Consider the following 15,867-nt stretch of genomic DNA (forward strand, 5'->3'; position numbering starts at 1 on the left):
AGACGCTGGATCGGGAGGCGACGGAGGTGCTGCGCGCGCAACCCGCCGTTCCCGTCACGGCGCCACGGTCGCAGTTGGCCACACAGTGCAAGTGCAGCCCAAGCCGAACGCCCAAGAGGGCTCCGGGGTCCTACCGATCACCGCTTACCATGTATGCGATAAAAGCTCACCGAAAGCGGGACCTCGTGCGCTGTGCAAATGAGGAAACTGGCACAGCCATCAGCCCACTTCATATAGACAGATAGATGCAGAAATGATGACGGGGACCAGGTGGCCTGAGTCTTCGCCCTCTACCTTTTCCACCATGCCACACTGCCTTCCACCCAACGCGTGAAAACTTTGGCCTGAAAATCGGGTGATGTGACTGTAAGAAATGCACCCATTATTCCCAAAGGAGTCAGGGAAGGTGATGGCCCTTAGCCAGACAAGAAAATATATTCTTGGAAGACAAAAAAAGTGTCAGAAGATTTATTAGTCTTTGTGTTGATATTCACTGAGCAAAGAAAGAAAAAACAAGGAAGTCAACAGTAAGGAAGGAAACGATGTTATTATTGAACTGATTCTTACCTTGTGTATGTTAGTTTTGGATCATTAAGCCACTTTGTTACTGCACTGGCTTCCTGAAAAGCCAAAAAAGTGACATTCACAAGTCATGCTTCGTTGTACTAGCAAAGGAAGGACATGCTGTAACCTCACGTCTGGCGTCCCGGCACTTTGGGAATGTCAACATTTATCAGCCTTGTTCACATCTAGTCCTCCTCCAACAAAGTAAGCAATTGTCCCCTGAACTCGGGAATCTCATGCCAGTTTGATGATTTGGCATTGGAAGCTCTGGGTGCCATAGCCACTAGTTGTGTAACACCGACTCACCATAAATAGCACCATTTATTTAGGATCTAGTGCAGCTTGAGCACTTTTGTTTGCATTGTCCCAAATCCTTGTAGAAGCCTCTCAAAAAGGTACTTTTATTCACTTTAAAAATGAAGTTCGTGAAGGCCAGGGTTTAAAGGACTTGCTAGCTTGCAAGTGGTAAAAGTACTGGGATTCTAGCCCAAGTTCTTCTGTCTTTTGAAGCCTAACCACCTTCCAGTTTGCCTCACAGCCTCTCACCTACCAATTTATTCCATAAACGCACACATTTCCAACCTGGGAAATAATAATTTTTTTTTTTTTTTTTTTGAGACGGAGTCTCGCTCTGTCGCCCAGGCTGGAGTGCAGTGGCGGGATCTCGGCTCACTGCAAGCTCCGCCTCCCGGGTTCACGCCATTCTCCTGCCTCAGCCTCCCAAGTAGCCGGGACTACAGGCGCCCGCCACTACGCCCGGCTAATTTTTTGTATTTTTAGTAGAGACGGGGTTTCACCGTTTTAGCCGGGATGGTCTCGATCTCCTGACCTCGTGATCCGCCCGCCTCGGCCTCCCAAAGTGCTGGGATTACAGGCGTGAGCCACCGCGCCCGGCCGGAAATAATTTTAACATAAAACAAAAGGCACCTTTCTAGCTCCTAAGAAATTGTCTCTCCAATGTTTCCTTTTAAAATTGTGAGTAGGCAATCTGTGCCACATGCACAACAGCTGATAAAGTGGAGCCTGATTCTAGTTTAATTTTATAACCAAATCTAACTTATAACAAAGTTAATCTGACATAATTATATGCAAAATAGTTTCTATACCACGTTATGGAAATATAAGCTATTTGTGTAAGCAACCATAATTAGTATTATTTTTATATAGGTAAACTAAGTTTTCATGTTTTGTTTACTGATTTCTATGAATCAGGATCCTTTTATGTTTAAATATTCAGCTTATTGGTCTTAAGTACATTTACCTTGTTTTTCAACCATCATCACCATCCATCGCCACTACTTTCTTATTTTTGAAAATTGAAACTCTGTTCCCATTAAATAGTAACTCCTCATTCCCCTCTTCCAGCCCCTGGCAACTACCATTCTACATTTTCTCTCTATGAAATTTGACTGTTTTAGATACCTAATCCATATTGTAGCATGTGTCAGAATGTCCTTTTTTTTTTTTTTACTTTAAATTCCGGAATACATGTACAGAACATGCAGGTTTGTTACATAAGTATACATGTGCCATGGTGGTTTGCTGCACCTATCAACCCATCACCTAGATTTTAAGCCCTGAATGCATTAGTTATTTGTCCTAATGCTCTCCCTCCCCCTGCCCCAGACTTTGCGACAGGCCCCAGTGTGTGGTGTTCCCCTCCCTGCGTCCATGTGTTCTCATTGTTCAACTCCCACTTATGAATGACAACATGCAGTGTTTGGTTTTCTGTTCCTGTGTTAGTTTGCTGAGGATGATGGCTTCCAGCTTCATCCATGTCCCTCCAAAGGACATGATCTCATTCCTTTTTATGGCTGCATAGTATTACATGGTGTATATGTACCACATTTTCTTTATCCAGTCTATCACTGATGGGCATTTGGGTTGGTACCATGTCTTTGACATTGTAACTAGTGCTCCAGTAAACATACGTGTGCATGTGTCTTTATAGTAGACTGGCTTATATTTCTTTGGGTATATACCCAGTAATGAGATTGCTGGGTCAAATGATATTTCTGGTTCTAGATCCTTGAGGAATCCGCACACTGTCTTCCACAATGGTTGAACTAATTTATATTCCCACCAACAGTGTAAAAGTGTTCCTATTTCTCCACAGCCTCGCCAGCATCTATTGCTTCCTGACGTTTTAGTAATTGCCATTCTGACTGGTGTGAGATGGTATCTCATCGTGGTCTTGATTTGCATGAACCAGGATTCTTAAAACTGAGATCCATGAGTGGGATTCAAGAAGTCTATGAATCCTTTCCCTAGAATTCTGAATGGGGGATTTTTCTAGAAAGAGTTCATAGCTTTTATCAGATTCTCAAAGGAGTTTGTACCATGATATCAAGAATGGCTTGGGCCAGACACAGTGGAGTTTAGACCCAGGAGTTTAGACCCACCGGGGCAACATATTTTTTATTTATAAAAAATTTAAAAATTAGCCAGGTTTGGTGGTGCATGCCTGTGGCCCCAGCTACTTGGGAGGCTGAGGTGGGAGGATCATGTGGGCCGAGGAGGTCGACGCTGCAGTGAACATAATTTAAAAGGAAGAAGTAAAATTGTGTATATCTACATACAATATGAACCTAAACAATCCTAAAGAATCTACAAAAATGCCAGCAGAACTAATAGGGTTATAGAATACAAGGTCAATATACAAAAATCAATGGTATTTCTATATACTAGGAACAAACCATTTGAACTTGAATTTTAAAAATCACAGCCATTTAAAATAACATCCAAAAGCACAAAACATAAAATTAACAAAATATGTGCAAGCCTTGTACACTTAAAATGTCAAAACATTGGTAAGATGAAGACCTGGATAAAGTAGAGTACTATAACATGTCCATGGATTGGAAAAATCTATATCATTAAGGTAATTATCCTCAAGATGATCTAAATCTCAGTAAAAATCCCACCAGGTTTCTTTGTAGAATTGACAAGCTGACTCTTAACATCTATATGGAAATGCAAAGGAGTTACATGGTTAAAAGAATTTTGAAAAAGATCACGCCTGTAATCCCAGCACTTTGGGAGGCTGAGGCGGGCAGATCAAGAGATTAGGAGATTGAAACCATCCTTGCCAACATGGTGAAACCCTGTCTCTACTAAAAATACAAAAATTAACTGGGCGTGGCGGCATGCACCTGTAGTCCCAGCTACTCCAGAGGCTGAGGCAGGAGACTCGCTTGAACCCAGGAGGTGGAGGTTGCAGTGAGCTGAGATCACACCACTGCACACCAGCCTGGCGACGCAGCAAGACTCTGTCTCAAAGCAAAAAACAAAAAAAAGAGTCCAAAATAGATCTGTACGTAGATGGCCTATCAATTTTTGACAAAGGTCCCAAGGTAATTCAATGGAGAAAGGACAGCATTTTCAACAAATAATGCTGGAATAATAAATCCATAAGCAAAACAAATACAAAGATGAACAAAATTCAACTCCTTACCCTACACAATTTAATGAATTGAAGCAAAATGGATCATAGACCTAAAAAGTAATAGTTACAACAATAAAACTTCTAGACAGAAACATAGGGACAGATCATTGAGATCCTGAGTTGGGTAAATATTTTCTTAGGACTCAAAATGTACAAACTATAGAAGAAAAAATCAATTGTCATCAAAATGCACAACATCTTTTCTTCGAATGACACTGTCAAGAAAATAAAAAGACAAGACACACTGAAAAATATTTGCAAAACACCTATCTGATAAAGGACTTATATCTGGAATATATAGTCTTACACCTCAGTAATAATAATACAAACAATCTTATTTTTTAAATGGTCAAAAGATTTGAACAACTTACCAGAGAATATATGTGAATGACATTAACCCAGGAAAAGATACTTGATATCATTAATCATCAGAACATTACATATTAAAAACACAAAGATACCACAGCACACCTATTACAATGGCTAAGATTTAAAAGTTAGACCATATTAAATGCTAGTGAGGATGTGGAGCAACTGGAACTCTCATAATTACTTATCAGAATGCAAAATAGTACAGCCACTTTGGGAAACTGGAAATTTCTTATAAAGTGAAACATTTACATACCATATGATCCAGCAATCTCACTCCTAAGTATTTACTCAAGAAAAATGACAATATGTGTCCACAAAAAGGCCTGTATGTAAATGTGTATAACAACTTATGATAGTAAAAATGGGAAACAGTCCAAATGTCCATCAATGTGTAAATGTTTAAATAAATTGTGTAATTTGTATAATATTTATACAATGAAATACTACTCCATAATAAAAACAAAGTGACTACTGATACATAAAACCACATGGATGAATCTCAAAATCATTATGCTCAGTGAAAGAAACCAGACATAAAAGACTATATACTGTACAATATATTCGATATGGCATTCTTTAAAAAGGAAAAATTATAGAGATGGAAAATAGATCAGTGGTTGCCAAGGATTGGGTGTGGGGATAGGGATTGAGTATAAAGGGCAGTGTGAGGGAATTTTAGGGGTGATGAGACCGTTCTAAATCTGTGGTGATGCTAAACAACTTGTTGCATTTGTTAAAAACCTACAGAAGTGTATCAGTAAGTGAATTTTACTGTATGTAAATTTTAAGCTATTTACCAGGTTGTGAGGGGTACTTAAAATGGAATGCAGACTATGACAAATGACTCTGTTATAGATGACTCATCTAACCACACTGAAGGGGGTGAGGAAGCAAAGAGCCAACCTAAGTAACTTTGGAAAACTATTTTGGCTGAAAGCTGAAGGATGAAGACAGAAAGATCTGTCCACAAACACTGTACTCTAGTTGGTAAATTTGTTCCTCAGAGGAGTTGAGTTAGCAATTCTAAAGCTACTTTATGTATGTACTATCACTAAACAAATAAGTAAATATGTGGTAGATAATGAGTACCACTTCTGTGTCTGAGAAGGAAGTTATAAATAAGGAAAGGGGTGAAGGCAAGAATGGACCCTGTGATGCTGGATCAGAGTTGGAGGTAGCAGTAAAAATTCATGGGTGTTTAAAAATATATGTATAAATACCACTTGGTTGAGTCTTTTTTTAAGAAATAAATAATAGTAATAATAACAATAATAATAATAATAATAATAAATAGGCCAGGCATGGTGGCAATTGCCTGTAATCCCAGCACTTTGGGAGGCCGAGGCAGGTGGATCACCTGAAGTCAGGAGTTCAAGACCAGCCTGGCCAACATGGCGAAACCCCATCTCTACTAAAAATACAAAAATTAGCCAGGTGTGGGGTACATGCCTGTAATCCCAGCTACTCGGGAGGCTGAGGCACAAGAATCACTTGAACCCAGGAGGTGGAGGTTGCAGTGACCTGAGATCACGCCACTGCACTCCAACCTGGGCAAAAGAGCGAGACTCCATCACAAAAAAAAAAAGAAAAAGAAAAAGAAATTTTAAAAATATATGTAAAAGAGTCAGAAATGTGTGTGTGTGTGTTTATATATATATATATATATATATATATATATATATATATATATATATATATATGCATGAGTTAGTATCCACACATGTAACTTCTAGCTCTGTCTACTGAGAGAGCCCAGAAGCAGTCACTCCTCAACAGAAATGAGCATACCTAGTACCCAGACCTTGGTTTCTAAAGACCATTCTCCACTACAAAGGAATCAGGGCTCCTTGGAGAATTCATTGATTCCCAGAGAAGCAGCAAAATGAAACTTCTTAGACACTTCTTAGCTAGGTAACTCCTATCAGCCAAGAACAATCCTGATATGGGTATAGGTATGTGCTGTTAACAGTCAACATAGTTAGCAGCTGGCAAAGAAGATCTTGGTAGGACACCAACAGCATCTGCTACAAGTACATTTTGGGGAGGTGACCCCAGGGAACATTGGATTGGGAGTGGGGCTAAACTCAGGCCAACTTACTCAGGACACCACAATCATGAGTATCCCTGCCTCTTCCCAGGCCCCTTCCAGGCAGTGTGCCAACAGGTAGAACAGGTGAGACTACATGAGTATTACCATGTTGATATTACCAGAGTCAGTAGGAGAATAAAATAGTTCAGCGTTACCCAGGAGCTGAGCATCTGAAGCAGGTCGCTTGTATATCCTAGCCAGATCTTAAATGTCTTTTCCAAAGAAACATACTAAGCTTCTGACAACTAATTGCTTTATCTTGAGCAGCCCTGTTTTCCCTACAGTGTCCAACAGGTTAGCTCAGGTCTCCAGTGATGTGTCAAGACTTGGGGCAATAGGAGTGTTCTAAACAGTAGGACACTGATAATATTGGCTCCTATGGCTCCTCCTCCTCAAGAAGAGGATTCGATTTTTTAGAAATACAGGGACTTTACAATCCACCTTCCATGCTCCTCCCATTCTTGGTATTCTCCTGGAAATCACGAAGAAATTAATCTCTTCAGCAAATTCTAATAAGCCAGTCTTCTCCTTTTCTTTTTCCAGAACTTTCCACCAACTATGAGATTCTTTCAAGTTTGATCTCATTATAGCCCACTGACTTTTTCCAAATCATCAGTGAGCTTTTGAAAGTATACATTCATATTTACCCAATAATTTTAAGTCAAGATTTTGGCTCTTGTCTCAAAAGAATCATTTGGCTTCAGCTATTAGAACTGAAATTAGGTGGTTCCTTGAAATTGCTTTGAGTAAGAATTCTCAGCAATCCTGTCAGAGACTACAAGATATGGTAGTTAAGAGTTCGTGCCATAATTCATTAATTAATTCACTTAATTTATTCAAAAAAAATTGTGTTTTGATGGTCTTGGAGTATGTAGTATACTAAACAGTCTCTGACCTCATGAAATTTACATTATGGTTGGGGTAGGTAGACAGTAAACAAACAAAAAAGCAAAACATAGTACAATATATGGTGGTCAGTTCCACAAAGAAAAATAAAGCAAGAAAGAATAATGCTATGGTCTGAATGTCTCTTCCAAAACTCATGTTGAAACTTAATCCCCAATGTGGATTAATGAATTAATGAGCTGATGGATTAATGGATTATCATGGGAGGGGAACTGGTGAGAGACCTGAGCTGGCACATGCACACTCAGCCCCTCGCCATGTGATACCCTGCACCACTCTAAGGAGAGTCCTCTCCAGGAAGAAGGCCGTCACCAGAGTGACCCCTCAACCTTAGACTTCTCAGCCTCTAGAACTGTGAGAAAGAAACTCTTTTTCTTTATAGGGATACCCAGTTTCATGCATTCTGTTATAAGCAACAGAAAACAAAGGTAATAAGAATTACAGGAGGAAGGCCAGACACAGTAGCTCACGCCTGTAATCCCAGCACTTTGGGAGGCCCAGGCAAGAGGACTGCTTGAGGCCAAGACCAGCCTAGGCAACATGGCAAGACCTTGTCTCTACACAAACTAAATTAAAAAAATTTAGCCAGGCATGGTGGTGCATGCCTATAGTTGTAGCTACTCAGGAGGCTGAGGTGGGAGTATTGCTTAAGCCCAGGAGTTTAAGGCTGCAGTGAGCTGTGGTCGTGCCACTGCACTCCAGCATGCGTAACAGAGCGAGACCCTGTCTCAAAAAAGCAAAAAAAGAATTGTAGAAAAAGAAGAGTTTGACATTTTTTAAAAGGGAAATCTGGAAACACTAACTAAGACTGTGATATTTAAGCAAGTACTCAAAGATGGTGAGGAAATGAGCCATGTGGATATCTGGAGAATGAGCACTTCAGGCAGATGAAACAGCAAATGCAAAGCTGGGTGCTGGGACATGAGTATATTTTGTCTCAACTGTCTTACAACTGATGCAAGATTTTTCTCAGCCCCTTCACTGGACTTACAGCAGGGGTACCCCCTCTACTCAGCCCACCACGCTCAACCCCTTGCAGGAGGGAGCACATGAGCGAGTGAATGTGGGGTCCAGCCAGCCACTCCTAGTGCCAACACAAGAGCAACCTCCATGCAGGGCCTGCAGAGGCACCCAGCTAAGGGTGCCCAAAATCCCAAAGGCCCAGAGGGGTTGTTACAGTGCTCCTTTAGTTCCACTGTCCACGGATAGCGGTGTGTTAACAGTTCAGTTGGCCCCTTACCTCATCACGTGGGGAAGCTGCCCTCCACCAGTGAGGGCAAAGGGCCAGTGTGACAACCTTTCTGGGTAAAGTGTCCCAAGCTCTTGTCCAGGGTCCAAGAAAAATGAAGTCACATGGACAGCTGAAGGATGGCAAAGGTGGAGAATTTTAGTGAATGATAAAAATGGCTCAGTGGATAGGGGAATAGGAGAGGCAATGAGAAGGGCAGGTCATCTTCCCCAAAGTCAGGTTGTCTCTTCACAAAGTCAGGAGTCTCCTCTTCTACTGACTGAGCCTGGGGTCTTTATAGGCACAAGATGGGGAGTGCGTGCTGATTGGTCTGTGAGTATGCAAAAAAAGTTAAAGTGAAAACACCACTCAAAGGTGGGCATGACTGTGTAGAAAACCAATTAGGAAAAGCTAGATATATGTGAAATAGGTGAAGGATGGGGATCAATCAGAGGAAAGCACATCAAACAGGAGGACAAGTTCTCAATCCAGTCCAAGGATTTAACTTGTAGCTTGGCTTTCAGGATTTAAATTGTCTTCGACTTGGAGGTGGGTACCCAACCCTGTCTGTCTAGGCATTTGGCTGCCTCCTGTCACTATCATTATATGTGAATAATTAGAATAATTTATATTGTTAAATTAAACCTGTCTCCAAGCTCCCCCTCAGCAGAGCTGATGCGATGTTCAATGTTGTTATTGTGGCCCCTTCCACTTCCTGGACTCAGTGCAGAGTTCCTACGCCCCAGAAAGGGGCCTCCAATCCATGCTGGTCAGTGCTGGGGTGGTCATGCCCCAAGCTCCCAGCTGAGCAGGCTGCTCTCTGCTTACCGTGTCCATCTTCCTCCTGGTGACTAACTTGGCCTCCAAAGACCACAGCCTATAGAGTCCAGTCCCAGATATCCATGTGCCACCCTGTCAGAGGTCCATGCAGGAATTCTGCCCCGTGCAGGAATGCTGCAAGAGAGCTGAAATTCCCTGTTTCTTGGTCCTGCATCTCCAAGGTAACTAACCAATCCCTCCAACCCTATAGGCTTCAGCAACCTACCAGTTTCCTCTCCATTCTCCCTCCTCCCTCCCCCACCCCCCACCGTACCTCAATTGAGCTCCCTAGCCCTGTGAGCTATGTTTGTTTGTCACTTGTGTTTTTGTTTGTTGTTATTTGTTTGGTTAGTTTGGTCTATTGTTTATTTGCTTGTTTATTTTGTTTTTTCAAAACAAAGGCTTGTTAATCTTCCCAAAGACAAAGAAAATTCTGCCCTCCAGGACACAAAGCTTTAATTGCTCTCTTGAGAGAGGGTGAAGGGAAAGGTATTTTTAGTCTTTGAACGGAAGAAAATTAAGATTTCAATCGCATTAACATCTCTGGAATCCTTTCCCAGCTCTCCACCTCCAGGACCACCAGGCACTACCTCTTTCCAGGATACCATTAGTTCCTACCTTCGTCATTGCAACAGGGTGCCTCCTGACCTTCCTCTCTGCAGTCCTACCCTCCACCTCTTCCCCACCCTAAAGCCAAGTGATCTTTCTACAGCAATAATCTAATGACCCTTAAAATATCTTTGCCAATTAAGGAACAGGCACATGTTCCAATTCAGGCCAGTGAGACGTAAGAAAAAGCTTGCCAGGATTTCTGGGAAAGCTATTCTTTCTCTTCTGTGAGATTCTCTGCCTTCCCCTGCAGGGGGTTGTGTGCCATTTTGCCTGCAAGGGAAGGATGGAGTTGAAGCTGAGAGGAGGTAAAGCCAGGAGAACTGCAGGGTGAAGGAAGCCAGGCCCATTGAAGTAATTCAACCCTGAAGTCAACCCTATCCCTGGATTCTTGTTAGAGGTTTTTTTTTTTTTCAAATGATCAAAAAATATGGAACAATTATTGGTTGCATAGCAATGTGAATACTTGACAAAACTGAACAGTACACTTAAACATGGTTAAGATGGTAAATTTTATATTATGTGTATTTTACCACAACTAAAAAAAATTACACCAACAACAGCAACACAAATATGGAACAAATCGTATAATCACCATCCATGTGCCCAGCATTCAATTTGAAATTTGCCTTGTTAGTTAAGCCAATTTGAGCTAGTTTGTTGGTGACCTGGGCCCAGCAAACGCATGCTAAGTAATACGGAATGTGTGCCTGGAAGTAGGCATGCTGCAATTAACAGGCTTATACTTGATGGAATTGGCTGAAGAGATAGGGCTTGCTCATGAGCTAGAAAGTTAGCAATCCTATTTAAGGGATTGTGAAATAGAACTGGTTTCTCTGCCTGTTGAAGTTTAATGTGCAAAAAAATCACCTGGGGATCTTGTTCAAATGAAGATCCTGATTTGGTGGGAACTGAGAGTCTGCGTTCCTAACAAGCTCCCAGGTGGTGCCACTGCTGCTGAGCCATGGACCACACTTTGGATAGGAAGGAGTTACACTGATGTGTCTGGGAATGGGGACCACATACTATGCAGGCTGTTGCATTAGGAGGATGGTGGGGAAAATTCAGGATATTGGATTGTGTTACCAACTTCTTACAGCCCTCAGTAAGGTTCTACAAGAGACAGGCCCTTAGTTTCACACTGGCCTATGTGAAAACAAGAAAATACATCTCTGTTAAGAGAGGTTCTCTCTTGGCGGGGCACGGTGGCTCATGCCAGCACTTCGGGAGGCCGAGGCAGGTGGATCACAAGGTCAGGAGTTCAAGACCAGCCTGTCCAAGATGGTGAAACCCCGTCTCTACTAAAAATACAAATATTAGCTGGACGCCGTGGCAGTGCCTGTAATCCCAGCTACTCGGGAGGCTGAGGCAGGGGAATTGCTTGAACCCGGGGGCGGAGGTTGCAGTGAGCCAAGGTTGAGCCACTGCACTCCAGCCTGGGTGACAGAGTGAGACTCCATCAAAAAAAAAAAAAAAAAAAAAAAAAAGAGGTTCTCTCTGCCTATGAACTGAAATTTAAAAATGGCTGAAATGTGATCACGTGACTATGTCATCTTGGTCAACTTTTTAGAGTCTGCCCATATTTGTAGAATGAATGCATGAATGAGTGAGTGAGCTTGCTATAAGAAAGAGCTAGATAATTAGAGCCTCCCAGCAATGAAGCAGGTTGCCATGTAAATACTGAGCTCCCCAACCCCGGAAGTGTTCAAGCAGTGACTTGATGACCATCTGTCAGCTTTAATGTAAATAAATATGACCTGGGGATTTTGTGAAAATGCAGATTCTGATTTGGTACATCTGGGTGGGGCCTGAGATTCTGTATTTCTGAGTAGCTCCCAGAAGATTCCAATGCTATAAGACTTTGGATCATACCTTGAGGAGCAAGGATGTAGTGGGGAATCCTACAGAGGGTAGAAAGTTCAGCTAGATTAGTAGTTTCCAAATCTACCCGTATGTCAGACTCACCCAGGAGATTTATTAGAAATAGAGGTTCTCCAACTCCAATGCCAGAGCTGGAATTCTGTAGACCAGGAGCAGAGTCTGGATGCCTGTATTTTTCCCAAGCTTTCCACTGATTCAGATGCAACCTTTGGGAATCACTGAACCAGAGGCTTCTGAAATGTTGTTCAAACTCTAAGCTTACTTTTTAAAAGAATCAGACAAATATAAATCATGATGAGGCAAAGCCAGGCTGACTAAAATCCCCTTGCTATACTTACTTGGCAAATATCACCAGGGTCAAAACACTGCCTTGTTATTTATGAGTCCTAGATCTATGCTTAAATCCATTTCTAGAGAATGTCATATTTCCTATATTTTTGCAGATTGGAATTACATTATGCTCTTAAAGTAGCCCAATTAATGATTTCTTGAACCCCAGCAACTTGTAGTGAAACAACATAATTATGTTAAAAGAGGGAACTTCCACATTAGGTTTCTTGGAGAATGTTTCAAAAGATAAAAATAGCAAGGAAATCTAGGGTTGTGTGACACATCGAAAACATCCCACAAACGGGAATCTTCCCAATTGAGTCTGTTAGGTCATGGTCTCTTGCTCTCATTGCAGCTGTGAGCAGGGAATTGCAGATCCCTAATCTGAGGCTGTAAAGTTTTATTGCTACAGATTTGATAAGTTCTAGGAGGGCAGAATCTCAGGCAGATTTGATCAATTTCTGTTTTTCTTACCCATTCATCATTTTCTCTTTTGACATGGCCACAAATGGGAGGGTTCATGAAGGTGGGCCAGCACCACGTTTTAGAACTTGGGGCTGGAGGGAGAGGCTGGACTTTTACCCCACTGCAGGGGTTAGAAGGGCCAGTTGAATTTGTAGGATGTGAAATCCAGTAAGGACCATGATTAAATTGCCAGCAGTGGCAGTGCCTCGGGCACTGGATCGAAATTCAGGGCAAAATTTCAGAGTTTAGACATGGAAAGCTAACAGTGGGGCCATCACCTCATGGGGGGCCAGGTACTGAAGTCAAAATGGGCCTCCTGAAATCTGTAGCAAGAAGGGAAAAGAGAAAACATGAGTTACTATAAGCAATGCAGGCCGGTTTTCAGCTGTCAGGCTAGGAAATTCTGCTAGGCTTTATTTCAGCAGACGGACATCATCAGCTATGCAGTATCCAGGTCCACAGGGACTTCAGAGAGGTGGGAGCAACTAGCCTAGGTTGCCGAGTTCAAGAGCAGAAACCCTGCCTGGGCCAGCTGTTGTCCTCAGGCTGAAGATGGACTCTTTCACATCCATGTGACCAAAAGAGGGCAAAACTAGAGTTGGCTCCTTGGGGACAGGGTGGTGCCATGGCCCCCATCATCTCCTTTTTTCTTCCCATCAGATAGCAAGCAGCTCATTGGAGAGCCACACAGTCACCAGGACAGAGAGAATGCCCAGCAGCAGAAGCCAAAAAAAGAAACTTTCCCTTTCTGTCTCCTCTGTCTGTGGCGTGCAACCCAGCTATGAGGACGTGGGGTTGAAGCCATTTCCTTTTTCAGTTTCAGCTTCTGACCCTCCTCAGGATTAGAAGTGGCGATTCAGAGGCTGGGAGGGTGAAAGCATGACTTCTCAAGAACCAGCTCGTGCTGAAGTCACTGCTCACCTTCCTGTCTCAGGGATGCTCCTGATGCTAATGACGTCGTGTGAATCATGCTCTACGTGTCTGCATGCCTGAGCCGAGCTTATCCTCATGGCACCCTGTGAGGCAGGCTGCTGCTCCTACTCCCACTCACCAGAAGAGGAAGCCGAGGCTCAGAGACTGAGTAACTCTTGAGGTTACACAGCCACCGAGCAGGGTCATTAGGGCCCTATGAGATTTCCTTCCGACTCCGCTCTGAACTCACTCTCGTAGGCCCAAGCTGGGCGCCTCCCCCAGGGAACACCGTAGTGGCCCGGAAAACAGAGAGCACAGGTTACATTTGGCTCACATTCTTGGTGTGTCCACTGTAGGTTGCTGTGAAGTAAATTTTAAATTTTTATATAAAAACAAACAGATAATTTCTTGAGTGGGACATAAAAGCATGAATTTGAAAGTTAAAATGTAAGATATTGACCTTTTACTTAATAATAATGTAACAATATTGCTTTATTAACTGTGACAAATGTACCATTGTAAAATAAGATAATCATAATGAAAACTGGGTGTGGAGTGTGCAGGAACTCTGTATTATCTTTGTAATAATATGGTAAATCTAAAATTGTTCTAAAATAAAAATTTTTCTCTTTAAAAAAGTAAGATATCAAATAAATTTTAGAATCTCAGTTTCCTTCAGGGGTACCTGGTCATGATTATCTTTTGTTAGAGGCATATCAGAGGCCATGTTGCTCGCTGAGTAGAAGGACATTCTACAGTGTACGCTTACAGCCTCTTGAAAAGCCTGTATTCATTAAGAGAAGAAAAAGAGGGTGGGACAGTGAAGATTCTTTCACTTCCTCTCCCCAGCCTCTGTCCCCTTCTTAGCACTGTGCGAAGAGTGAGAGGTAATAACCACTTCACCCTCCCCAGGTTTCCACCAGAGTGGAAGGGGTTCCATCACAGACAGACTATTTGAGCATTTCACCCCATTCCAGCCTCCACCACAATCCTACAAATTCAACTGGCCCTTCTAACCCCTGCAGTGGGGTAAAAGTCCAGCCTCTTCCAGAGACAGGAGAATCACTTGAACTCAGGAGGCAGAGGCTGCAGTGAACCAAGATAATTCCACTGCACTCCAGCCTGGGCGACAGAGCGAAACTCCGTCTCAAAAAAAAAATAAATAAATAAAAAATAATAAATAAATAAATAAATAAATAAATAAAGTGGGGGGTAATTCAGGGCAGGGCAGAACCAGAATGTGGGGAAGTCAAGGAAGCCACAGAGGCAAGAGATTTATGAAGGACAAATGGACAGGATTCAGTGACCAAGAAGATGGGAGGAAGGGGAGGAAGAGAAAAGAGGGAAAGAAAAAAGAAAAATGCCCAGGGTGTCTCCCTGGTTTCCAACTTGAGTGACAGAGAATGATCACATTCCCAGCAGAATTTTTCTTCTTTCTCAACAAGATTCTTCCTGTTCTTTTGTTTCTGGTTGTCCCTCAGAACTAAGGAGAAACAGCCTTTGGGATAGTTGTCCCCCTACCCCATCCCAGCTGGTCCTAAGAGTAAGAACATAGGATTCTCATCCCCCTTTTATATAAAGAGAACCTGAGGGTATGTAATGTGTACAAGACTGTACAATGAGGCAGAAGCTCACTGGCACTGGGACCTACAAGATCTACTGATTCACAATTGAATTCTAAACATCACAGCCCAAGGGAACCAACACAATTACTTAGTGGACCCATTTCTCTTTCCAGAGAAGGAAACTGAGACCTCTGAATAAAGAGTAATTTTCCCAATGTCACATGCTGCTGACTAGCAAGCTAGGACTAGAGCCTGGCTTGCTGAGTTTTAATAATCCAGTGCTCCTTGCATTTTCGCTAGTTGCTTTGTCACATCTGTATGCACGTGTGTGTGCAAACACATACACACACACATACACATGCTTGCTTGCTTGAGAAACAGGGCATTTTATTCGCATGATATTTTCTTTATGGACTTATCACAAAGCATATCCTCAGACTGCTCACAGAATAACAATAGCAATTCAAGATTGTTTTTTGTTTAAAATCCTGTGTTTCTTTATTTGTGGCTTAAGTGGGAATTGGTTTATTGCCCCATCTCTACCCTGAGCAACTCAGGATTTATTCAGACTGTCTTGCTCCATTGAGGTCTATCCCCTTCCCCAGCCCTATGCCTACATTACCCTGCCAAGGCAGGGAACAGATCTGACAGCTTTTTTGCTTAAGCAAACTTATTAAAATTC

General features: G+C 42.3%; 1 long non-coding RNA gene across 1 annotated transcript, besides 1 other annotated feature; it reads left to right on the plus strand.

Annotated features, from left to right (window-relative positions):
- Positions 1–71: part of an enhancer, noted in NCBI's record as "active region_12461", that runs on past the window's edge. NCBI's record gives its function as "activates an Ori minimal core promoter by ATAC-STARR-seq in GM12878 lymphoblastoid cells {active_cell/tissue: GM12878}" and the evidence as "EXISTENCE:reporter gene assay evidence [ECO:0000049][PMID:35858748]".
- Positions 23–14,288, plus strand: LOC105371841 (uncharacterized). Its single transcript, XR_934884.4, has 2 exons — positions 23–768; positions 13,369–14,288. It is a non-coding gene; the product is annotated as an uncharacterized LOC105371841 (long non-coding RNA).
- The last annotated feature ends 1,579 nt before the right edge of the window (positions 14,289–15,867 follow it).

This window comes from Homo sapiens, chromosome 17 (genome assembly GCF_000001405.40).
Source record: "Homo sapiens chromosome 17, GRCh38.p14 Primary Assembly".
Taxonomy (NCBI): Eukaryota; Metazoa; Chordata; class Mammalia; order Primates; family Hominidae; genus Homo; species Homo sapiens.